We start from the raw sequence: 27,739 nt of genomic DNA, 5'->3' as shown, positions 1-27,739 counted from the left end.
TGGGGGGTTGGGGGTGCGCCCAGTGTACATTTTTGAAAGACCATCCACTGTGTTCTCAAACGCAGTGTGCTCCTGTAAATGACTCAGCAGAAGGTTGTGGTCCCAGCCCCAGATTCTGATTCCGCAGGCCTGGAACAGGCCAGGGAATCTACTTCTTATTGGGCACCTCCAGAAAATCTAGAGTTAGCATCCCAAGGAGCACACCTCGCCAGTCCTTAGAAATTTACAATCTTCAAAGTCAAGGTCCTGCATACTTGAATGACTACTCATTTTCAGGAAATGTCACTATAGAATTGTTAATAAATTTTTATAATTTTGCGTTGTCTGAAAATTATTTAGCACATTCTCTTGAAAAAAAGTCCATGCTTAAAACAGGCAAGTTGAGTATAAATGTTTGATCTCAATTAACTCATGAGTCAACCATGTTCTGAAAGCACTGACTGAATCCTTACTGAATAGCACATCCAGGGCAGGCTATTAGGATACAAAGATGAAAATAGACTTAAATTAAGACAATAGATGTTACAGGGTGCTAATCACCCACATGTATCCTTGCCCCAGAGGAACCCCTAATTTTGCCTGGGGACATCTGTGAGAAGGAGAAGGACCAGAATTCAGTCATAGGAAATTGGCAATGTGGAATGGGTGTGCCTCCCTACATCTAGACAGGGCACTTGTGAGGATCAAATGAGATACTAAATGGAAAAGCAACTTTGGGACAGATAAGGTGTTGTTACTGTGAGCTTTTCAGTTTCTGAGAGTGATGATGACATTTCTCCCTCTAGGACTGTGTCCTTCCTTGCCTCAGTGGAATTCAGGTGAAAATCATCTGCTTTTACGGCCTGGCTTTTTAAATTTTTAAAGTCCACCTGGTTAAATTGTATGCATTTTAATCTCAGTAAGTTTTTTCTTGATCTCTTCACATGCTCACTCTTTGCTCTCTGGAAATCTCAAAGAACAATGAGTTATTTCTAGTACAGAGCAGAATGTAGAAGAAAGGTTGGTGGGCAGAGAATCACACAGGAAGGGAGTAAGGAGAGGAGAGAGAGGCATTACGTCTGTGGTAGGTTTCACTGGCCAGCCCTTTTCTCAGGAGAAAGTAATCAAATCACTCTCTCTCCCTCCACATCTACCACTCCATTCTGGTGGAGACAGCAAGACCCAACATCCTTGCCAATATCTAGCTGTGTGATCTTGAAAAAAAAATTACCTAAGTCTTCTGGACCTCTTCGCCTTCACTTGGGGTAGAGCAAGCTTGAACAGAACATTTTGAAAGTACCGTTCTACCCCAGCATTTTCTCGTTCTATGAACATGTGTTTTTATTGGCCTGGATTTGCCCTGGTGATGAGATCCGGAAAGGGCAAACACATTTTTGAGGTGCTCAACTGAGCACAGGCTTAAAGTATCATTTTCAAATATCACAGTTCCAATGCCGTATCTCTTCTCACTTATGCAAATGTTTTAACACATTTAAGATCTGCAAGTTATGTACACACATAGAGATACACACATATACATATATATTTGGATCATATATGATTCTATGTATGATTGTGGCTTCACCCAACAGATTTTATTTTCTGATTTCTCAAGGAGAAGGCAATATTTCTATTTTTATTCAGTCTCCTTCAAGAACACTGGGGTTCTGCAGCCAACTTGTATTCAGTATACACTCTCCTTTATCCACAGGCAACTAACTTACTCACAGATTACATTCATGACCCAGCACAGCAGCAGGTGGGGCTTGTATCTTCAAGCATTCTCAGGCCAGGGGGGTGGAGGAGAGGGGCAGAAACCTTCATAGTATTAATTACACGTGCAAAATATTTGAGCTATTTTAATGTATACAAAACAAATCATTTTACTTTATTAAATTTCCCCTCCCAATTCTCATAGTACACAGATAAACCCAACCATAGCATTCTGCCCTCTAGATGAAATTGTATTGGTTAAATACATTTTTCCTTCAGTAAATAAATATCACACTCTGGGTGATGTCTATAGCAAGTAGTATAGTCCCTGGAACATATGCTGTCTATAATGCATTGCTGTATATACTGTTTTCAAAACATCCATCAAATGTAAACCTCATATGCTTACAAAAGTTAATCACATGTCATAGTGTTAAGTAAATGTCACATATGCTTGTTTAATATTAACAAACTAAAATAACTTCAAAAAGACCAATAGACAGGTTTTAGAGCACCCTTAATCCACAGATGACAAATTACCTTCGAGGCTTCTACAAATTAAAAATACTAAGAGGAAAATGTAATTTAATCTGGTAGCTATGCAATAATCCCAAAAGAAAGAAGCTGGTTGTCCCAGTGGATCTGTGGTTGGCCCCTCCTCAATCATGTGGCTTTGATCTCAGGATCTCATTGACGACTTTGGGATCCCTTGTTCTTCCTCTAGATTCTAAGTGAAAAGCACTGGGAGATGCATGGATAGACCGCAGGAGCGTCAGAAATAGTCCCAAGAACACATGACAAACGCGTGTTGTAAATGCTTTAACCTTCATCCCAACACAGACTCCAGAGACCGCATGAGATTCGCAGAGAAAGCCACTAACTCAGAAGAGGCTCCGGGCTTCCCCTGTGCTTCTGCCTTTGGAAGACGCAGGTCAGCCCTCTGCTCATTTACTCCTCTGGCCAATTCAGAGCAGCCAAGTTTCACTTAACCCCGCTTAGCAAGAGAAACCGCTCCTCCTCCAATGGCTAATAATTCTTCTGAGTGGCAAACGGTTAACACCCAATTTTAATGCCCTGGCTCACAACCCCCACACAGACATCTGAGCCACATGTGAGTAGCTACTGCTTTTCTGTAAATGACAGAAATACTAAGAGAACTTGACGGAAATCGTCTCCATTTCCTTTCGGGGGCGTACTAGGGACCAATTAAACGGAGCACTTCCACCGGCCTAGTGGTTTTCTGCAGCCAGGGAAGACGGGGCGATGCGCTGAGGCTCGACGCCCCCCGGGTGAGACTGGTCCCTCACTTGGCCGCCGGCCTCTGAGACAATGGAGCTGACACTGCCCAGCTGGGGTCGCGCAGAGGGGTCAGCAGAATCCGCGCAAGAGGCAACAGCTGGGGAGCCCTCCTTCACTCTACATCTTTGTTCTGCTCTCTTTTCCATCCCCAAAGAAACAGAGGAGGAGGAAGCAGAGCCCCCATCGCGCCTGGGAGCGGTTGTGTAGGTGACCACGCCGCTTCCCCCATCTCCCCTAGCAACGGGGCTTCCGCGTCCCTCGAAATGGCCAGTTTCGCCCCCTCCTTCTGGGGTAGGTCCAGAGTTCAGAAGGCTTCTACTCCCAGCCTCGGCTTACGCGTCCTAGCGGTTGGGAAGTCCCCGCGATTCCTTTCCCAGGAAGGGACCGACAAGCCTCCTCTCCACGCCCCCCAGACGCGTCCAACCCTCACCGTGCGGGAACTCTGGGTGGGGACCCAGCGCCGCAAGTCCGACCCGGGGCACCCTCCCGGCGTCCCCAGCCCGGCGGTGCAGAACAGCCTCTGCGCCCCGCGTACCTCCAGACTCGGAGAGGCTGCCCCGCCGCGTTCCCCGCGCTTGGACCGCGCGCAGCGCCCCGCCGACGCCCCTACCTGCCGGAGAAGGGTCCGCCGGAGCCGGGCGCCAGGCGACGCGGCGATGGCCGGGACTCGGCTCGGAAACCAGCCCCGCGCGGCGGGTGAGAGGGGTCGGCAGTTGCCCCTGTGCCCGGGGCCGGCGCGGTTGCGCGCAGCCAGGCCGGCTGGAGGCTGGGGACTGCTCCGCCACCCGCTCGGCGGCGGCTCTCTCTGCCCGCCTCTGCGACCCGCAGCCGCGGCGTCGGCGGCGACACAGTCCCCGCCGGCCCCGCCTCTCCCCTCCCCGCGCGCCCCCCGCGTGGTGCCCGCCGCAGCGCGGGTCGTGGGGCTGAGCTCCAGCTCCCGGGGCGCCGCGCCTCGCTCTGCGGGTCACTTTCCTGCGGCGCCCAGGACGCTGAACCCGCCTCGCTTCTAATCCCCGCCGGGGCAGCCCTCCGGGTCTCCCGCGCCCTCCTTTCCACGTTCCCCCGCGCGTTCCAGGAGACCGCGCCTCTCTCCACTCCTGCCCTCCGATCCTCTGCTCTCTCCCTCCTCTCTCTCTGCTACAATTCTAAGAACGCAGCTCACTCCTGAAACTTTTCCTTCCGTCTCCACTTTAGCAAGATCCTGGGAGCAGGAGGAGAAGGGAGTGCCCAGAGCTGTGACCTGGAGCCGAGGTCCCCCTGGGGAGTCCTAACAGAACAAAGGCCATCGCGGGGACTGTGGCAGTGGTTACCAGATGAAATGAGTGACCCCTTTTAAAGCTACAGAGGCCGTAACAGTCCTTCGCCCTCTCTGGTCATTCAAGAGCCTTCTGAATAGGGCTCCAAAAATCAACTTCAGCCTTGGACCAGAGAACATGTGCCAGAACAAGCCTGTCTCCAGGGGACTGCTCCGTCACAGCTGTCAGACGATTCCAGTGCATTCAGTGTGATAAAATGGAAGGCTTACCCCCGCCCCCAATTTTGTCCTTGGGTGGCTGTGTAAACGCGTTCCCTGTCCACATTTCGCCAGGAGGGCTATTTGCTGTATTAATAATGGGGTTAATGAAGACACGCCGTCATACGTTGCTTTACCAGAGGGGTGCGCTCTGAGAAATGAGGGGTACTCTCTGAGAAATGTGTCCTTAGGCGATTGTGTGGCTGTGCGAGCAACATAGGGTGCACGGACTTACACAGAGCTCAGTGGTGTAGCCTACTCCACACCTAGGACATGTGCTACAGGCGGGGCGCGGTGGCTCACATCTGTAATCCCAGCACTTTGGGTGGCCAAAGCGGGGGGATCTCCTGAGCTCAGGAGTTCGAGACCAGCCTGGGCAACGTGGCGAGACCCCGTCTCTACCAAAAATACAAAAAAATTAACTGGGTGTGGTGGCACGACCTGTGGTCCCAGCTACTCAGGAGGCTGAGGTGGGAGAATCACTTGAACCCTGGAGGCGGAGGTTGCAGTGAATCGAAATCCGAGATTGCGCCACCGCACTCCAGCCCCGGTGACAGGAGGCCCCTGCCACACACACACACACACACACACGACATATGGTACATAACCTATTGCTCTTAGGCTACAAACCTGTAAAGCATGTTCGTGTGACAAATGCCATAGGCAATTATCACACAATGGTAAGTATTTGTATATCTAAACTTATGTAGACGTAAAAAAGGTACAATAGAAACATGGTATTATAATCTTATGGGACCACCTTCCTACATGCGGTCAGTTGTTGACCCAAACATCCTTATGCAGTGAATGACTGTATAGATGATTATATATATACATATTGTACACATTAATATATATTATAATCTATGTAATGTATATATAAAATATAATATATAATGTGATTATATAATGTATGTATATACTGTAATTCTATATTATGTATAATATGTGATTATATATAATCACATAATATGTGCGTATGTATACATATACATATACATCATAGCAGAGGGTCTTGAACATAGTACACAGTAACTTTCTTCAAATGAGTTTACTACCATATTAATTATTGGATATGTCTGGATAAATTGTATGATACATGAATATATGAAAAACAGAGACTCTACAGTTAGTTTTCTGCATGAAATTCAAACTTCATACTTAGGTGACATTATAAGGCTGCATTTTCAAGTATGGATTAAATAATGACTTGAGATACCGCTTTTTAATTGCAATTTATATTTCTTTTTAATTGCCATTTATATTACATCTTAGGTGATTTGAAATGTATTCTGTGATTTTTAAGATGGGCTTAATTAAACTAATTAATTGAGCTTAAATATGAAACTATATGATGATGTTTTCCATATATAATGTAATGGAGTCTAAGTCAGAGTTAGTTTTTATTAAAATAATTTACAAAATCATAATAAAATAATGAAAGCTAACAAGATTGACTATGAATTAAAAGTAAAATAATCATTTCAGCACCTTACTGTCTTCCTGGCATTTTATGCATTTAATGCCAGACAAATATAAATGTGTATAAATGTGATATGAGGAATATTACCCTTTTTTTTTTTTTTTGAGACAGATTCTTGCTCTGTCGCCCAGAATGGAGTGCAGTGGCATGATCTTGGCTCACTGCAACCTCCGCCTCCTGGGTTCAAGCGATTCTCCTGCCTCAGCCTCCCGAGTAGCTGAGATTACAGGTGCCCACCACCATGCCTGGCTAATTTTGTATTTTTAGTAGAGATGGAGTTTTGCAGCGTTGGTCAGGCTGGTCTTCAACTCCTGACCTCAGGTGATCCACCCACCTCGGCTTCCCAAAGTGCTGGGATTACCGGCGTGAGCCACTGCGCCCAGCCATATTACCCATTTTTATGTTTATTGTGTTGCTTAATACTTGAAATCATTCTGTTTCTCTTTATATTGTAAGACTTGTATAGAAGAAGCAGCTTGCACATATTTAGCTCACCAGAAGTTAAGCTCTGGTAACCAATCTTTAAAGCTCTACAGACATCAAACGGTAGAGGTGCCTGATAAAATCCTAATGTGGTCAGCAGGAGAGTTCAGGCTTTGTATTGCTACAGTGCATGTTTCTCAAATATGGGTTATATATTGGATATATGTTCATATCATATATCTAAGTTTCTGTATTAGCAGGTGACAGTATAAGACGAAACATGTAAAGAAAATAGCAAAAGTCATAAGTAGAAAATCATGTTTGCATTCTAGCTTTTCCGTTACATTCTGCATCAGGTAGTGATTACAGTGGGCTGAAATACACAATTGTAATTGATAAGGTTTGAAAAAATCACATGCAACTTAAGCATATGGGTAATGTATTATTGAGAATGTCAATATTGGTTCAGTTCCCAAAGGTAATTTTTCTTTTTAAAGTGAGATATGAATGCTCGTTTGTCATTGGTAATTTCTCTGTTTACATGGAGACAACAAATTCTGTAATAGTAATTTTTTTACTAGGACAGAAGCATGTATTATCCAGCTTTGGCAGCCATATCAGGTATATTCTGGTAAAAGAGGATTACCTAAAATAGAAACCTCAAAGAAGATGGCTATAACAACATTCTGAATTAAAGTTTTTATCACTTTTAGAAACAAAGTATTAAGTTCATCTAATGGAAACGTGTAAAGTGAATTATTTCTATATATTTTATTACACTCATAATCTATTCTGCATATATATATCTATTCTGCATATACATATATAATCTATTCTGTATCTATATTATATATATACAGGTTTCTTCTACATTTTCAGGAATCTTTACAGAAGTGCCCCACTGTACCGATACCAATTTACTGTATTAGTTCCTTCTCACAGCTGCTATGAAGAAATACCCAAGACTGGATAAGTTATAAAGAAAAGAGACTTAAAAGAGGTTTAATTGGCTCACAGTTCCACATGGCTGGGGAGGCCTCAAGAAACTTATAGTTACGGCAGAAGGCACCTCTTCAAAGGGCGGCAGGAGAGAGAATGAGGGCGGAGGAAATGAGGAGGCCCCTTGTAAAACTATGAGATTTTGTGTGAACTCACTATCATGAGAAAGCCATGGCAGAAACCACCCCCATGATTCAATTATCTCCACCTTGTCCTTTGACACGCCGGGATTATTACAATTCAAGGTGAGATTTGGGTGGGGACACAAAGCCAAACCATATGACAAATGCACTTGAAGAAAATGCACATTCTGCTGTTTATAGCTGGAGTTACTATAAGTGTTAATTATGTTGATGGTTGATAGAGTTATTAAAGTCTTTTATATACCTATTGTCGATTTTATCAATTAGAAATGAAAATGGGGTGTTGAAATCTCCAGCTGTAATTGTGAATTTTTATATTCTTCCTTGTAATGCTATCAGTTTTTACTTTTGTATTGAAAATTTCCCTTTTCATTCCATAAATATTTTAAATTGTTACATACTTCCTTTGTAAATTTTAAATTTAATATTTAATTTTGTGGATACATAGGTGTATATATTTATGGGGTACATGAGTTACTTTGATACAGGCATGCAATGTGTAATAATCACATCATGAAAATAGGGTATTCATCCCTTCAAGCATTGATCATTTATGTTACAAACAATCCTATTATACTTTTTAAGTTATTTTAAAATGTACAATTAAATTATTACTGACTTTAGTCACCTTATTGTTCTATCAAATACTAGATCTTATTCATTCTTTCTAATTATTGTTTTGTACACATTAACCACCTCCTCACAACTTGCCTACTATCTTTCCCAGCCTCTTGTAATCACCCTTCTACTCTCTATCTGCATGAGTTCAGTTGTTTTGGTTTTTAGCTTCCCACTTTGATAAAAGGGAAGATCCAAAGTTTGTCTTTGCCTGATGTATTTCACTTAATATAATGAACTCCAGTTCCATTCGTGTTGCTGCAAATGACAGGATCACATTCTTTTTTATGGCTGAATAGTACTCCTTTGTGTATATGCACCATTTTCTTTATCCGTTCATCTGTTGAAGGCTCCTTAGGTTGCTTCCAAATCTTGGCTATTGTGAACAGTGATGCCACAAACATGAGAGTGCAGACATCTCTTTGATACACTCCTTTTCTTTCTTTCGGGTATATACCCAGCAGTGGGGTTGCTGGATCATATGGTAGCATTATTTTTAGTTTTTGGAGGAATCTCCAAACTGTTCTCCATGGTGGTTGTACTAATTTACATTCCCACCAACAGTGTATGAAAGTTCCCCTTTCTCCATCTCCTTGTAGCGTTTGCTACTGCCTGTCTTTGGGATGAAAGCCATTTTAACTGGGGTGAGATGACATCTCATGACATTTTTTTTTTTTTTTGAGACAGAGTCTTGTGCTCTTGCCCAGGCTGGAGTGTAGTGGTGTGATTGTTCTGATTTGTATTTCTTTGATGATCAATGATGCAAAGTCCTTTTTCATATGCCTGTTTGCCATTTGTGTGTCTTCTTTTGAGAAATGTCTATTCAAATCTTTTGCCCATTTTTAATTCAGACTATTATTCTTCTCCTATATAGTTGATTGAGCTCTTCATATATTCTGGTTATTAATTCCTTGTCAGGTAGTTTGCAAATATTTTATTTCATTCTGTTGGTAATCTCTTTATTTGTTGATTGTTTCCTTTGGTTTGCAGAAGCTTTTTAACATGATGTCATCCCATTTGTCCATTTTTTGCTTTGGTTGCCTGTGCTTGTGGGCATTACTCAAAAAATCTTTGCCCAGTCCAATGTCCTGGAGATTTTCCCCAATGTTTTCTTGTATTAGTTTCATAGTTTGAGGTCTTAGATTTAAGCCATTAACCCATTTTGATTTTTGTGTATGGTGAGAGATAGAGGTCTAGTTTCATTCTTCTGCATATGGATATCCAGTTTTTCCAGCACCATTTATTGAAGAGACTGTCCTTTCCCCAGTGCATGTTCTTGGCAACTTTCTCAAAAATGTGCTCACTGTAGATGTATGGATTTATTTCTGGGTTCTCTATTCTGTTCCATTGATCTATGTGTCTTTTTATGCCAGTACCATGCTGCTTTGGTTCTATAGCTCTGTAGTATAATTTGAAGTCCAGTAATGTGATTTCTCCAATTTTGTTCTTTTTGCTTAGGATAGCTTTTTTGGCTAATCCCAGTCTTTTGAAGTTATCTATAAATTTTAGGATGGTTTTTGTCTTTCTGTGAAGAATGTCATTGATATTTTGATAGGATTGCATTGAATCTATAGATTGTGTTCAGTAGTATTGACATTTTAACAATATTGATTCTTCCAATGCCTGAGTATGGAATATCTTTCCATTTTTGTGTCCTCTTCAATTTCTTTCATCAGTGTGTTATAGCTTTCATTGAAGAGATCTTCAGATTCTCCGATGAAGTTAATCCCTAGGTACTCAATTCTATATGTGGCTATTGTAAATAGGATGACTTTTGGATTTTTTTTCCAGAACTGTTCACTGTTGACATATAGAAATGCTACTGATTTTTGTATGTTGATTTTGTATCCTGAAACTTTACTGAATTTGTTTATTAGTTCTAATAGTTTTCTTGTGGAGTCTTTAAATTTCTCCAAATATAAGATTATAGAATCTGCAAACAGGGATAATTCAAATTTTTCCTTTCCAATTTAGAGGTCCTTTATATTTTTTCTCTTGTCTTATTGCCCTAGCTAAGACTTCCAGTACTATGTTGAATAACAGCGATGAAACTGAGTATCCTTGATGTGCTTCAGATCTTAAAGGAAAGGCTTTTAGATTTTCTCCATTCAGTGGATACTAGCTGTGTGTCTGTCACATACGACTTTTATTGTGTTGACGTATGTTCCTTCTATATCCAGGTTTTTTTTTTTAGAGGTTTTTTTTTTTTTATTGTGAAGGGATGTTGACCTTTATCAAATGCTTTTTCAGCACCTGAAATGATTGCCTGGTTTTGTCCTTCATTCTGTTGATACAATTGATCACATTGATTGGTTGTTTTTTGGTCTTCTCTTTCTTCTTTCCTGTCTTGCTTTTAGGGAAGGCGATTTTCTTTGGTGATATGGTTCAGTTTCTTGCTTTTTATTTTTTGTGTATCTGTTGTATGATTTTCAATTTGAGATTACCATGAGGCTTGCAAAGACTACCTTATAACCCATTATTTTAAACTTAACAACTTAACACTGATTGCATAAACAAACAAGGAAAATGAAAACTAACAAACACTATACACTTTAATTTTGTCCTCCTCTTTTTTTTTTTTTTTTTTGATGGAGTCTTGCTCTGTCACCTAGGCTGGAGTGCAGTAGCATGATCTCAGCTCACTGCAACCTCTGCCTCTCAGGTTCAAGTGATTCTCCTGCCTCAGCCTCCTGAGTAGCTGGGATTACAGGCACCTGCCACCACAACTGGCTAATTTTTGTGTTTTTAGTAGAGACGGGGTTTCACCATGTTGGTCAGGCTCAGGCTAGTCTCGGACTCCTGACCTCAAGTGATCCACCTGCCTCAGCCTCCCAAAGTGCTGGGATTACAGGTGTGAGCCACTGTGCCCAGTCGTCCCCCTGCTTTTTAAGCTCTTATTGTTTCTATTTATGTCTTATTATACTGTCTATGTCTTGAAAAGTTATTATTTTTTATTGGTTCATCATTTAGTCTTTTTACTTGAGTAGTTTACACACCACCGTTACAGAGCTGTAATATTTTATATTTTCTGTGTGCTATTACCAGTGAGTTTTGTACCTTAAGATGATTTCTTCTTGCTCATTACCATTCTTTTCTTTCAGATTGCAGAATTCCCTTCAGCATTTCTTGTAGGACAGGACTGGGGTTGATAAAAAATCCCTCAGCCTTGTTTCTTTCTTTTTTTTTTTTTTGTTTTTTGGTCTGGATATACTTTTCTAGGGTAAAAGGTTATCTACTTCAGCACTTTACTTATTTATTTATTTATTTTTATTTTTTGAGATGGAGTTTCACTCTTGTCACCCAGGCTGGAGTGCAATGGCATGATCTCAGCTCACTGCAACTTCCACCTCCTGGGTTCAAGCAATTCTCCTGCCTCAGCCTCCTGAGTAGCTGGCATTACAGGCGTGCACCACCAAGCCCAGCTAAATTTTGTATCATTAGTAGAGATGGGACTTCACCATGTTGACCAGGCTGGTCTCAAACTCCTGACCTCAGGTGATCCGCCCACCTCAGCCTCCCAAAGTGCTGGAATTACAGGTGTGAGGCACCATGCCTGGCCTCCTTCGGCACTTTAAATGTCATGCAACTTTCTCCTGGCCTGTAAGATTTCCACTGAAAGTCAGCTGCCAGATGAAGTGATGAAGTGACACTCCATTGTATGTTATTTGTTTCTTTTCTCTTGCTGCCTTTAGAATCCTTTATCTTTAGCCTCTGGTAATTTGATTATTAAAGGACATGAGGTTGTCTTCTTTGGGTTAAATCTGCTTGGTATTCTATAATTTTCTCATCTTGAATATTGACATATTTCTCCAGATTTGGAGTGTTCTCTGATTATTATTCCTTTGAATAAACTTTCTACCCCTATCTCTTTCTCTTCTTTCCTTTTAAGGCCAATAACTCTTAGATTTGCCCTTTTGAGGCTGTTTTCTAGATTGTGTAATGTGCTTTCTTCTTTTTTTCTTTATCTCCTCTGTGTATTTTCAGATAGATGGTCTTCCAGCTCACTAATTCTTTCTTCTGCATGATCAGTTCTTCTATTAAGAGACTCTGATGCCTTCTTCTGTAGGTCACTTGCATTTTTATTATTTTTATTTTTCCATAAGTTATTGGGGTACAGGAGGCATTTGGTTACATGAGTAGCTTTAGTGGTGATTTGTGAGATGCTGGTGCACCCATCACCTGAGCACCATCCATCTTGGGAAGGCTTTCCAGGTATTCAAAGGGGCTTGGGTCCCACACCCAATAACACTATGCTTCTTGGAGACTCATAGAGGTACTGTCTTGGTGGTCTTGGATAAGATCCAGAAGAATTTTCTGGATTACCAGGCATTGACTCTTATTCTTTTCCCTTACTTTCTCCCAGACTAATGGAGTCTCTTTTTCCGTGCTGAGCCACCTAGAACTTGGGGTGAGGGGGGACATAAACAGCCCTGTGGCCACCACCATGGGGACTGCACTGGTTTAGATCTAAAGCCAGCACAGCACTTGGTCTTGCCCTTGGCCCATTGTAACCACTAGCTGTCTACCACCTATGTTTCCACACTCAAACCACAAGACAAAGTCATTACTGCTTTTCCCTCCCCTTTCTGCAAGCAGAAGAGCCTCCCATTTTGGCCACTACCATCACCACCCCATAGGGTATTCTGCCAGGACACTACCAATGTTCACTTAAAGTCCAAGGGCTATTCAGTCAGTTTGTGGTGAATGCTGCCAGGCTTAGGACTCACCCTTCAGGTCAATGGAACTCCCCCTGTCCAAAGGCAGGTCCAGATTTGCTGTTCAAGAACCTAGTCACGGAATCAGGGACCCCAGGAGCCTGCTTGTTGCTCTACCCAGCTGTGGTCAAGCTGGTATCTAGGGTGCAAGGCAAAATCCCCTTTACATTTCCCTCTGCTTTTCTCAAGCAGAAGGAGTCTTTTAGCATAGTCACCATAGCTGTGAATGTGCTTGGTCACTCTTGAAGCCAGCATGTCTCAGAGCCCAAGGCCCATGATCACCTTGGGCTGAATAATCACCTTGGTATCACTGGTGATTATTCAGGGCCCAAGGGCTCTTTAGTCAGCAGGTGATGAATCCTGCCAGGATTAGGCTCTTCACTAAAAGGCAGCAGATTCTCTTTTGGCTGCCTTGAACAAAGGCAACCATAAAATGTTGTAATGAGCTAAGAATATCATCCATGAGCTAAGGCCTAGAACAGAGATCTCATGACTCTACCCATTGCCCTATCCTACTGTGGCTGAACTAGTATTCAAGATACAAGACAAAGTCCTCTTCACTTTGCTTTTCTCTCCTCAAGCAGAAGGAAGGAGTCACTTTTGTCACTGTGAGCTGCACTGCCTGGGATTGGGGAGGGGTTGGCTCAAGCACTCCCTTAGTTGCCCCAGCTGGTGTCTTAGTATGTCACTTGCCATCCTAGTCCACTGGCTCTAACTCTAGCCTAACACTAGAAGTTGCCTAGGAATTTCAGACCTTGTGTCCTAGACTACCTTTTAAGTTTACCTAGGATCCCAGGGCTCCTTGGCCTGTGGTGGCAAAGCCTGCCAAGAAACTCAAGTTCCGACCTCTTGGATGGGTGATTCTCCTCCGGCAAGAGTTGTTCAAATGTCCCCTTTGTGTATGGACACTGGCCCAGCCCAGCATGGCTCTGCTCTCTTCTTTGACACAGCAGTACTGAGTTCAATGCAAAGTTCCCCAGTTTCTGTACTCCCTCTCCCCTAAGTGCACAGATTCCCCATATCACATGTCTGCTGCTGGGGAATGGGGGAGGGGTGGCATTGGCAATTCAAGACTGTCTTTCCTACCCTCCCCCGTGGCTCTTTTAGTGATATGAAGTTAAAACCAGGTACTGTGATCACTCACCTTATTTTTGGTTCTTGTGATGGCGCATTTTTGTGTGTAGCTCATTGTTAAAATTTGGTGTTCTTGCAGGGGGCACATAGGATGGTGTTGGCTTCTATTTCACCATCTTGCTCTGACCCCCAGAAATGTCATGTACTTTTAATGAGTTAATCACTTTATCACTAAGTGATCCTCTTATTCCTAATAATATTCCTTGGTAAAACAATCTACTTTTGTTTCTCACATTTATCTAGCCACTCAGCTTTTTTTTAAATTAGTGTTAGCATATGTCTTAGCCAGTTTGGGCTACTATAACACAATACCATAGACCAGGTGGCTTAAACAACAAATATTTTTCACAGTGCTGGAAGCTGGAAAGTCCAGGAACAAGGCACTCACAGATTTGGGTCTGGTGGGAACATTCTTCTCGGTTTGTAGATAACCATCTATTTGTAACCTCACATCGCAGAGAAAAACAAACATCCTGTCTATTTTTTTATAAGGATAATAATCCTATCATTAGAAGTCTATCTTCATGATTTAATGTACCTTAATTACCTCCCAAAGACCCCCACCTCCATATACCATCACACTGGGGATTAGGGTTTAAATGTATGATTTTTGTGGGGGGAGGGGGCAGTGAGCATAAACATTTAGTTCATAATAGCATGATACCTTATATCTTCTTATTCTTACTTTTAAATGATTTAGGTCTGTATATTTAAAGTGCACTTATTGTAAAAAATATATTATTGGGTCTTGCTTTTTTAGTCATTTTTACAATCTCTGCCTTCTAATAGAAATGTTTAGACCATTTACATTTATCTCATGTATATGTAAAGTTTAGGAATATTACAACAGCAGACTTTCATATTCTATACCTTGGCTAAAGTCACAGAGCACACGATGACATAAAGGTTTGCTACATCTGATTTGCTCATCCAATTTGGAAGAAGAAAGTAATTTAACTCAATATAATTCTTCTTATGGGAAATTCTATCTGTATCATATGCCTCTTTGTTACAAAAAAGGATCTTTATTAGAAAAATATGTAAATCAGGAGAAGCTAATTGATCTTCTCTATTTGCGCCAGACCATCTGTTTAACAATGGCAAAGCCACAAAGATGTCTCAATAATATCTTTAAGTCACTAGTCATTTCTGCAAGAAATAAGTGTGATTGGTGGTTAACACACAAAAGCCAGAAAATGAACAAGAGTTGGCTAATTCTCAAACTGAAAATATTTGTTTATTTAGTTTAGCAGGTTCCTTGCTATAGAAATGCCAACCTTCTGCCTGAAAAGTTGAGCCATTGGTTAGTCAGTTTCATGTTCACCTCCTGCTCTGCAACTGCAGGGGAATTTAAACTATGTAAATCAACCACTTGAAAGTATGAAACGAGTACAAATGTGTGCATTCCTACACATATTCTATACTTTGCTTAAAGTCAAATAATGTCTTCTTGTTAAGAGAAATGCTTCAAGAAGAAAATTGCTAAGAATGTTGAGAATAAGCTATTACATATTCAGTCTTTCTCCAGTAAAAATAGGTGGCAAAATCATTGTTCTTCAAACATATACTTACTACAACTTTACATTCATATTTTTAATCTAAATTCACCTATGCACCTGACAAGGGTTAGCATGTAGTATGTACAAACTTGATTGCCATTTATTTTAAATTTAACTTTGGTGAAGTGTTTGTTTAGTATATGTCAGTGTATTTACATAGACACATTTGATTAAGTGTGTTGGCATATGTCTTAGTTATTAGTTTATTAGTTTGATTAAATGTGTCTACGTAAATGATTTTAAAACATAATAATGAAGTAAGTTAAAATTTTATCAGTTAGAAAAACAGTCATAAGCCGAAGGCAAAACATATGAGTTCAACAAATGCAGAATGCAGGACTCACTCAGAGATGCTGCTGGAGCAAGCCAACAATACTCTTTGTCAACGCTGCATGTAAAGTGCACATTCAAAGCTCTAGGATTGATATAACCACAGAAAGGTGTTCTAATCATACCGTGGCAGTGCACTTGGAGTTCGGAAAACATTCATTATGCACCTAAGCATTTGCATGTTTTCTTCAAAAGAATTAATAAAACATATTAATGACAAATACTGTGGTATAAAAATATAATTTCTTTACAAAAACTATATATGAGCCATACTATATATCTTAAATTAGTAACTACAACACCTGTACATATCAACCCTGCACAAACAAATTCACCTTTGTTTCACTTTTGTACATGAATTATGGGAACACAGCTACTCAGTTAAACTAAATTGGCAAAAGGGTATGTGTGTAAAAAATAGAGACCTGAGCCTATGAAACTACTGCAGCTCTTAGTTCTAAATGTCTATTCTGCAATTATTGTTCTGCACATTCAGTCCAGATTTGAATAGGCAGAAAAATTACAGCATTTCTAATAGATTTAAAAGTAATCTGTAGTGCATGCTGATGTCTCTCTACATCTTCAAGGTTGTAATGGAGCTTCAGTAAGTTGTACAGTATTTATATTTTGGAAGTAAGCTTATATAATTTTGAAGTAAATTCTGTGAAAATGAAACATTTAAAACATTTACAAAGTCTTACAAGTAATTAAAGCACTATTTTAAAACTTGTATCCTGTTAAAATGCTTCTTTTTGCAATAGTATAACATATGCTTTAATTTTGAATTTTAACTTATGAAGAATTCAATTTAATAGCTCATGAAAATTTTCATATTTCACAAAAATACAGAGTTATAATTCTGAAAATGTATAAATGTAAGGTATTTTATTAATGAAGAGACTGAGGGCCACATAAATCACATGAATTGACTATAAATTTATTCAAATATATTGGTCTGGCAAGAATCAATAAGATTTATTACTAATTTGTATTTTGCTATGATTCTTAGAAAATCATAGCAACTCAAAAGCAAAACTTCTGAACTTTCTTCTTTTAAAATATTTCTTAAGCTCTGTACTAACTAGAAATAATTTTAAAAGGAATAAAATCAGGTGGCCAATAAAACTAGTATAACATATATTATCCAATAAAAATTGGCTGCAGAGACCACTGTTTATATGAAACAAGGTTAGAGAAAGTACTTAAACATTGAACTTTTATTTTTTATTTTTATTTTATTTATTTATTTATTTATTTTTTGGGACGGAGTCTCACTCTGTCGCCCAGGCTGGAGTGCAGTGGCGCGATCTCGGCTCACTGCAAGCTCCACCTCCGGGTTCACGCCATTCTCCTGCCTCAGCCTCCCGAGTAGCTGGGAGTACAGGCGCCCGCCACGAGGCCCGGCTAATTTTATTTTCTTTTTTTTTTCTTTTCTTTTTTTTTTTTTTGGATTTTTAGTAGAAACAGGGTTTCACTGTGGTCTCGATCTCCTGACTTCGTGATCCGCCCGCCTCGATCTCCTGACCTCGTGATCCACCCGCCTCGGCCTCCCAAAGTGCTGGGATTACAGGCGTGAGCCACTGCGCCCGGCCAACATTGAACTTTTAAAATATGGAGAATATATACTGTAGCTTGGAGCAAAAATAATTGCAGTTTTGCCATTACATTCAATGGCAAAAATTCTAAATTTAATTATATTGAAAGTAATGGCAAAACCGCAGTTACTTCTTCACAATTACTTTTGCCCCAACCCAGTACGTGAGAGACAACAGTGAACCACAACCAGTTACTAGAATCATGATCTACTGGATTTCCATCATTTGTTTGCTCAAAACAGTGCTGGGTACAGAAGTTTCTTAAGCTCAGGCAACTATTTAGTTCATCTACTTTTGTTGAAGTAGAGTGAATTTCAATTTCCCTTAGCGTATTCATCTTATAACTGCCATGATTAAAAGCATTAGTCACCAAATAAAAATGAAATGGTTTCTGCCCATATATGGAGATCTAATTTGTTGTCTACTGAATTTCCCCTCACAGCTATATGTCCAGTTTTTTTCACGGTTTACTATATTATTGGAATTTTAAATTATTTAAACAGAGAAACTTGAATCCTTTGGGGTATAATGTTATTACCGCCTGGCTGTGAGCATGCATTCTGAATCTTTTCCTAAATGGTGATGCTGGAGAATCTAATGATGCAATTTAGTACAGCATATACATATCTAACTGCGAAAGCTACGGACACTTTATGCCACTTGACGTAAGTGTTGGTAGTAGCTTTAATCTGTAGAATTTGTGATGGTGCTAGTGGTTTCTTAGTAGCAAAGTAACAAAGATCTTTGCTGCATATGTGACTACTCCCAATTTTTTTGTAGCTATCACTTCCACCCCAAAAAGACAATTGAGCACCTGTACCACCTGCAATAGCACATGGTGAGCTGTTGTTCTTATATCTTGATTACTTATTTAATGGTTCCAAGAATCTGATACTAGCGTGGCCTACCTTATTGTATCCAGATTCAGGTAAGAAAATGAACTGTTATATTGCCATTCATAATCATAAAGCAAGTATTTATTATTTTTCCCTTTATGTGGATCCCATCCACCAAAAATATGCATCTTCTTTTCTCTAAAAAGGCTATGTAAAACTTCATTGCAGTGGCACTGTTCCTTTCATTTGTGGTTTTAAGTATCATATAGACTTAATATCAAATTGCCATAGATCATCCAGCTAAGCATCACATATTTCATCAGTAATATATATTTCAGTACTTCTGGAATCTTTCTTGCCACAGAATTTTTCTTGCTACAATCTAGAATGGCCACATGTCTCAGAGAAGGCACAATCCATTGAGCCATTGGACTGTTACAATCAAAAGCTCCAGAAGCATCCTGTGGCTCCAATTCATACAAGTTATTTAAATATCTGGGAATATTATTTTTGACTCTTCACCTTTATTTTCTGACCACAAGATGAATAGCCATTGTTACCATTAGAGAAAATTTATATTAATTTAAATACAAACAGATACATAAAAAGATAGGGGATGGGATTTTCCTTTTTTTCCCATAATAAACAACTTGCTTATAACTCACAGAACTTGTATCTTGCATCTTCAACTCTTCCTCCAAATACAAATACTCTGGTACTATCACAAATGAATCCATGGATGGTAAGCCCTGGATGGATATCTTCTCTAACATTCAGTAGAATCCACTGACACATAACAGTGTTGTAGAGATTTGCAGCTCTTCCACAATGCCTCTTTGTCCTTTCTAAAAGTGATCATCAGCTCCCAGAGGACCAGAGTCTGGTGTCCACACCAAGCATGGAGGATGGGCCCCTTATAACTACTGGTGTATACTTGTCTACAAACTCTATCATCTTGGTTGGATTCAATTGATTGATTGTCTTCTGATTATGGGCATCTTTTTTGTTTCTTTGCATGCTTGGTTGTTTTTGATTGAATGCTAGATATTGTGATTTTCCTTTATGATTGCTGGATGTTCCTATAAATATTCTTAAGCTTTGTTTTATGACACACTTAGGTTTCTTAAAAATAGATTAATCTTTTGGGGTCTTGCTTTTGAGATGTGAGTTTGAAAAAGAAAAATGTTTAGTCTCGGTCTAACTTATCCACATTTGAACTAAAACTCCTGGGATTACTCTACTTAGTACCCCAATAATTAAAAGATTTCCCACTCTGGCTTGTGGAAACAGACATTATTCCTAGCTCTGTGTGAATTTCACTGAGTTTTCACTATAATTTGTGTAGTTATTTTCCCAGCCTCAGACATTTTCCTCATATGCATAGGTTGATTGGATTTCATGTGAGGGCTTGAGGAAGATCATCTGCAGATATCCGAAGTTGTCTCTCTGTGCAGCTGTCTCATCTCTGGCACTCAGCCTGTGAACTCCAGCTGAGTTGGCATTCTCAGATTCTTAGCCAATCTCTTCATTTCCGTAGTCGACCCACATCCACCTGAGTTCCCCTTCCCTGTACTGCTGCATCTGGAAATTTTCCCTGGGCAGTAATCCTAGCAACATGGTTTAGCTGTGTCCCCACCCAAATCTCATCTTGAACTGTAGTTCCCATAATTCCTACAAGTTGTGGGAGGGGCCCGGTGGGAAGTGATTGAATCATGGGGTTAGTTACCTCCATGCTCTGTTCTCATGATAGTGAGTAAGTTCTCATGAGACCTGATGGTTTTATAAGGGGCATTTCCCCCACTTCGCTCTGCACTTCTCCTTGCAGCCACCATGTGAAGAAGGAGGTGTTTGCTTGCCCTTGTGCCATGATTGTAAGTTTTCTGAGGCCTACCCAGCCCTGCAAAACTGTAAGTCAATTAAACCTTTTTCATAAATTACCCAATCTCAGGTATGTCTTTATCAGCAGTGTGAGAACAAAGTATACACTGGTTAATCTGGGTAATTGTAGGACTGACCTTGTTTGTTCCTCACCTCTCAGGGATCACTGCATTTCACTGCTGATGTTCACCATCTTGAAAACAGCCGATATATACATTTTGTCTGGCTTTTTAGTACTTTAGGCAATGAGTAAATTTGCTCTGTATAACTCTTTCTTGACCAGAAGTGAAAATCTTTGCTTACGTATTCTTTAATACTATCATCAAATTACTTGTAAGAATTTATTTAAAAAATCACTAACCACCCATGGCTATTTCAAAGATATTAAGGGAAATAAGGGAAATTGATTCAAATGTGAAAACTTTGTATAAAGCAAAATGAGCGAAGAAATTCATATATATATATACATATATGTAATTTAAAAAGAATTACTTCAAGTGTATCTCATAGGAAAATACCCAGAGTAAATTATAAGATTTTCAACAATCATCTTATAAATAATCAGTTAAGAGGCATTCTAAATTTCAGTTCAAACTAATCTGAAATTAATATTTTCCTTCATAGTAGACAATCACCCAAAGTTTAGACAATTTTGAATTTTTTTAATAAGTCATTTCAAAGACTGTGCCATATATGAGTAGGAGATAAAAAGATGCTTTCAAATTCTCTGAACCCCAAGGTTCAACATTTGTAAAGTTTCCATTTTCTCCTAAATTATAAAAATTTATCTTCGCTTCTTCACAAAAGTACTGGGTACTACTTTACAGGCTTTATAGTAAGATACATGTTTTTTCACCTTTTCAGTTTCACTCTGATTTTAAGCTATTCACCTCTTTAATTTGTCTGGTTACCATGGATACACTAATGTCATTTGTATATGCCAAGCTTATGGACAAGTAAGATGTGGTTTAGAAAACTTTAAATATTGTGCAGCAGTTATTGAGTCCACATATGTAGTGTGAAATCTATTTATAAATCTATGAGTTTTTCATGTTTACAATTTTAAAAGCATAAGAATGATCTGGAACATTTTCAGTTTTAAAATATTCTTACTTTCTAGAGCATAATTGCTTCACTTTGAATATGTTTTATCTTTAATGTAATTACCAATTATCATTGTTCACTCACTCATATCAGTTTCTAATATCAGTATAAAGCAATGACTAATGGTCTTGAAAACCCCTGAAGGAAAGAAGATTATGAATGTGCCATGCACTCCAGCCTTGGAGACAGGGAAAGACTGTCTCTGAAAAAAAAGAAAGAATGGAATGGAACAGAACAGAACGGAAAGGAAAGGAAAAAGAAAAGGAAAGAAAAGAAAAGAAAAAAGGGAAACATATTTCTGCTAAATTCTATTGTCGGAAGAATGTAATTTAGCAGTGCTACAAAATGTGGAATACTTTTACATAAAAATAAAAACTACTTCAGCTGTATCAAAGGATTAATGACTGAGCAGCTCGTCACTTTATCAAACAAATGTCAGGTTACTTTCCTAGTGTGAGCATCAAACTTTTACAGCCATGATATCCCCACGGTACTTTTATTACAGGAGCTCTGAAGTTAGGATGCGTTTCACACAAGCAGCACTGGCTGCTTTTCCTCCCTGGATCCTTGTTGTGTTCCACGTAGGAGTCTCCTGGGTCTTATTACTTTAGGCTTAGTCCCACGTAGGCTTTATGGCTATGTGGACTTTGATTCCAGTTTAATTACTCTCCCAGTTATCAGTAACTTTTCATAAAAGTAGAATTTTTACACCCTGATTTAAAATGAAATTCATTTCCCAAGCCTAAGTCTCTGAGCCCTGTCTTCATTTGTAGTAAAACTTCCTCCCTAGATCAATCCATCATATTGAAACTGATTCTGTCTCCAACATTATTCTTTCTGCTTAAGTTCTAACTCTCTGTGTCATTTCTGCTCTGACACTAGCACCTTGACTGTTATTCTATTGCCAGCCTACACTAGACAGCAAGATGCTTTTCCATTTCTCATTAGTGCTAGCTACATATTTTTACAGGTATGGTTAGAAAACTAGGATAAGTGAGCACGCAGCTCTATTACAATTTCACAATTCTTGAGGATTGATATATGGTATATTGACTTTGTTATTGCAATGAACACCTTCAGCCAGCTGAATCTGATGTATCTAATGATTTATGTAATTAGTATTATGCTTTGTACTAATTAGATCAGAAAGGTAAGTCATTGTTTTACATTGTTGTCATTAACAGTGTTTTCTAACAACCAAAGCAGTTTTAATTTTTCTGTTTTAAAAAAAATCTTATATTTATAAACGAGTTAAATAGGATATATTTTTTATAATAGCTACAGTCTTGTATTTAAAATTATCACCACTAGACATTAAAAAAAAGGTTTTAGATATTCTTTTTTTTTTTTTTTTTGAGATGAAGTTTCACTCTCATTGCTCAGGCTGGAGTGCAATGGTATGATATTGGCTCACTGCAACCTCCACCTCCTGGGTTCAAGTGATTCTCCTGCCTCAGCCTCCTGAGCAGCTGGAATTACAGGCACCTGCCATAACACCCGGCTAATTTTTTGTACTTTTTTTTAGTAGAGACGGGGTTTCACCATTTTAGCCAGGTTGGTCTCAAACTCCTGACCTCAGCTGATCCACCCACCTCGGCCTCCCAATGTGCTGGGATTACAGGCGTGAGCCACTGTGCCCAGCCAAAAGACAGATTAATAGGAGGAAAGGCATATAAATTAGATTTTATGTTATTTATTGATTGATTGATTGAGACAGAGTCTTGCTCTGTCACCCAGGCTGTAGTGCAGTGGCACGATCTTGGCCCACTTCAACCTCTGCCTCCCGGGTTCAAGCGATTCTCCTGCCTCAGCCTCCACAGTAGCTGGGACTACAGGCACCTGCCACCACACCCGGCTGATATTTATTCTTTTTTTTTTTTTGAGACGGAGTCTTGCTCTGTTGCCCAGGCTGGAGCGCAGTGGCACGATCTCAGCTCACTGCAACCTCCGCCTCCCAGGTTCAAGCGATTCTCCTGCCTCAGCCGCCCAAGTTGCTGAACTACGAGTGCACGCCACCACGCCTGGCTAATTTTTATACTTTTAGTAGAGCCAGGGTTTCACCATGTTGGCCAGACTGGTCTTGATCTCTTGACCTTGTAATCCGCCTGCCTTGTCCCCGCAAAGTGCTGGGATTACAGGTGTGAACCACACCGGCCCTATTTATTCTTCAATATCATGTCTTCTCCTGTCCCAAACCTACCTCTATCTTGATCTTAGAGTCTTAGATGATCATAGATACTGATCTGCAAGCGTCTACACAATCTTCTCTCAAGACCCCCCAAACAGTGATAGATACTTAAGCTATTGTTCCTGGTCTCTGTGGCCATGTCATGTATCTCAGAAACTGTGGGCACCAAGAGGGCAGAAATAGCATGCTGGGAAATGACAGCATAATTGCCACATGGCACAGATGGGATGCTAAGGCTCCAGATAAAGGAAAGGCCACTCTGAGAACTGATTCTGAAACTAAGTATTTGAGGAGGGTCTGGGAGAACTGAAGTGAGTGGATCATTTCAAGGCAGAAGAAGGAGAAGTAAAGCCCCAGGCCTGTTGTGGCCAGTTGCACACCGTTTTGATTCTGCTTTCCCCTTATGGAGCCATGAAAATAAAGAAGCAGGTTCAATGTCGGGCCAGGGCTTAAGTATATCTTAAGTAAGAATATCATCCTCTTTCTATTAGGAAAAAAATCTAACTTTTATATTATCTGAAATTTTTAGCAACAAATTCTTTCTTTATAGACATGGAAATATTTAAAAATAAAAATATCTGAGAGAGGTGGAGCTGACCTAGGACAGAGAATGCGTTTTTAGTCTGTTGAAATGATGATACAGCATATTTTCCATTTGCTAGAAAGTCATGAGATACACTTATGGGTTATGGAAGAGACAAGATACAATGCCAGGATGGAAGGAAGCCAAATAAAGAATGGAGATTCCCCACACCAGCCTTTCTGATTTTGTAATTTACTAGTTTATTCTCAGTCAAGAGAATAGGGTAAATAGATGCTCCTCATGGAAGCACTTCCACCCCTATGAATCTTGGAGAGCCACCTTCTGCCTGAAGACCGAGGCACTAGAAGGTGAATTACCAATGAAGATCAGATCCCTCTTCAGTCAGTCTACATCTTAAATGCGAATGCCAGTTTGCCACTTTGACTCCATTTATCTCAAGTTGAAATCTCTGCAATTAATCTTTTTGCCTTGTTTCAAATCAGCTTCCTAAATGCATCACCTCTGGGCATTTTAGAAATTTCTTTGTACCAGAATATATTTGCCTAAAAAAATGAGTTGCCATTTCAAATAAACCTCTAGAGGCCAAAGTGGTTTATGTTAGCCATTAAATTTTCAGGTGGTTGTTCTTATTCCTGTATTTTAAAAAATTACTAAGAGTAAAAACAAAAATATCATTGGTCTCTGAAAACACAATGTTCAAAACTGCAATTTTTAAAAATGACATCTTGTCTTTCTAACAATACCGAGTACAATTGTTATATGTGATTGTTACTTAACATTCTTAAATTTGGTTCCACCATAAAATGCATTTTTAAATCTTAAAATATAAATTATACATATACATATATATCATGTATATACAGGTATATAATGTACATTTCAAACAGAATTTGCTTCTGAACAGCATTCCACAGTATCTATTTTTAATTCTTTTCTTTCTGAAAGAATATAAGACAGCTTACGAGGAGAAATATAAAGTGCAGTTGTCCTTTGTTATACACAGAATTGGTTCCAGGATCCCTGAGTACACCAAGATCTGTCCATACGCAAGTCCCCACGTCAGCCATGTGAAACCTGTGTATCTGAAGAGTCTGCCCTTGGTATAGGCAGGTTTTGTATCCCATGAATACTGTATTTTCAAGCTTCATTTGATTGCAAACAATCTGTATATAAGTTGACCTACACAGTTCAAAACTTTTGTTGTTCAAAGAGCAGCTGTAGAAAGAGGTGCATAGGTATGGAAATGAAAGCAAAAGACAAATAGAGGAGGCAGAACATTAAGATGAGAGAATTAATTGATACATAGCATATGTATTGCAGTCTTACAAAATGGCATCTATAATAAATGACTGATTTAAAATATAATAAGCATAGATGGCCACTAAATTTGGACCTCACAGTTGTTTTAGAAATGATCAACAGTAAAAGTGAATGTAAGCATATATCTCAACATTTGCATCTTTCACAAGATAAATGTGTGCTACTTGCTGTGGCAATGGCACACTTTCTTTTCTTGTTATTTTGGTCTGTGAAAAATATTTTCCAATGAAGCATTTTATTTATAGGCACACATAACCAGGTTGTCAAAGTGGCAGTGTTTACAGAAGGATTGTAGCTAATTTTACCTGTCATGATACTCTGGTGTAGAAGATGTTAAACCTTTTAAGAAACAATTAAACAGAAATAATTAACATTTGTAAATTGCTATATAGCTTAAAATAACTTCTATATAAAATAGTTCTTGTAATCTTAAAGTTCTTGGAAACCATTAATTTCATTACTTCAATTTAATGTTTGAGATTACTGAACATAGCTCTTTCCCAAATCCGGTGAGGAAAACATTTAGGACTCAAATTCAGATTTCATGATTGCATATAATGTTTTCATTTAACTCTCCTGAATTTGGGATGTTATATTTTTATCCTGAGCATGTCATTTATGTTTTTAGTTTACATTGAAAAAATTTTCTTCTGAATTTTGATCAGAGGTAAGTAGGTCTTAGTGCATTGAGACAAATAACTAGTATATTTGTCCATTTTCACACTGCTATAAAGAACTTCCCTGAGACTGGGTAATTTATAAAGGAAAGAGGTTTAATCAGCTCACAGCTCCACATGGCTTGGGAGTGCCCAGGAAACTTACAATCCTGGCAGAAGGGGAAGCAGCCACCTTCTTCACAAGGCAACGAGAGAGAGAGAGAAGAGCAAAGAAGAACTTCCAAACACTTATAAAACCATCAGATCTCATGAAAACTCACTAGAACAGCATGGGGGAAACTGCCCCCATGATCCAATCACCTCCATCCCTCTACATGTGGGGATTACAGGTCCCCTCTCGACATGTGAGGATTAGAATTCGAGATGAGGTTTGGGTGACAACACAGAACCAAACCATGTCATTCTGCCCTGAACCCTCCCAAATCTCATGTCTTTTCACATTTGAAAACCAATCATCCCTTCTTAACAGTCTCCTCAAAGTCTTAACTCATTTCAGCATTAACTCAAAAGTCCATAGTCTAAAGTCTCATCAGAGACAAGGCAAGTCCCTTCCACCTATGAGCGTGTAAAATCAAAAGCAAGTTAGTTACTTCCTAGATGCAATGGGGGTGCAGGCATTGGTTAAATGCTCCCATCCCAAATGGGAGAAATTTGCCAAAACAAAGAGGCTACAGGCCCCATGTAGGAGCAAAATCCAGTGACAGTCATTAAATCTTAAAGCTCCAAAATAATCTCCTTTGACTCCATGTCTCACATCCCAGGCATGCCGATGCAAGGAGCGGATGCCCATGGCCTTGGGCAGCTCCTTCACAGGCTGGCATTGAGTGCTTGTGGCTTTTCCAGGCAGTGCACGCTATTGGTGGATCTACCATTCTGGGTTCTGGAGGATGGTGGCCCTCTTCTCATAGCTCCGCTAAGCAGTGGCCCAGTAGGGACTCTGTGTGGGGGCCCCAGCCTCACATTTCCCTTCCACACTTCCCTAGCAGAGGTTCTGCATAAGGGCTCTACCCCTGCAACAGACTTCTGCCTAGACATCTAGGTGTTTCCATACATCCTATGAAATCTAGATGGAGGTTCCCAAACCTCAGTTCTTGACTTCTGTGCACCTGCAGGCTCAACACCATGTGGAAGCTGCCAAGTCTTGTGGCTTGCAGCTTCTGAAGCAATGGCTTGAGCTGTACATTGTCCCCTTTTAGCCATGGCTGGAGTTGGAGTGACTGGGATGCAGGGCACCAAGTCCCAAGGCTGCACACAGCAGCAGGGCCCTGGGCCTGGCCCATGAAACCATTTTTTCCTCCTAGGCCTCAGGCCTATGATGGGAGGGGCTGCTACCAAGATCTCTGACATGCCCTGGAGACATTTTCTCCATTGTCTTGGCTAGTAACATTCGGCTCCTCGTTACTTATGCAAATTTCTGCAGCCTCCTTGAATTTCTCCCCAGAAATTTTTTTTCTATCGTTATCATTAGGCTGCAAATTTTCCAAATGTTTATGCTCTGCTTCCCTTTTAAACATAAGTTGCCATTTCAGATCAGCTTTCTTGAGTTCAAAGTTCTGTAGATCTCTAGGACAGGGGCAAAATGTCATCAGTCTCTTTGCTCAAGCGAAGCAAGAGTAATCTTTGCTCCAGTTCCCAAGACGCTCCTTATCTCCATCTGAGACCATCTCAGCCTGAATTTTTTTGTTTACA

General features: G+C 39.9%; 1 protein-coding gene and 1 pseudogene across 2 annotated transcripts in view; both read right to left on the bottom strand.

Moving 5' to 3' along the window:
- The window catches only part of MYO16 (myosin XVI), a 712,290-nt gene extending 708,480 nt beyond the window's left edge, over positions 1 to 3,810 (bottom strand). For both annotated transcript variants that reach the window (XM_011521062.2, XM_047430183.1), the window contains exon 1: positions 3,602 to 3,810. The gene's annotated coding sequence lies outside the window, so the exon portion shown is untranslated. The remainder of the gene's footprint in view (positions 1 to 3,601) is intronic.
- Positions 17,750 to 19,264, bottom strand: HCFC2P1 (host cell factor C2 pseudogene 1; annotated as a pseudogene).

The sequence above is a fragment of the Homo sapiens genome, chromosome 13 (genome assembly GCF_000001405.40).
Source record: "Homo sapiens chromosome 13, GRCh38.p14 Primary Assembly".
In the NCBI taxonomy this organism is placed as follows: Eukaryota; Metazoa; Chordata; class Mammalia; order Primates; family Hominidae; genus Homo; species Homo sapiens.
Note: the sequence above shows the minus strand (reverse complement) of the source record. Positions and strands in the feature narration are given on the sequence as shown.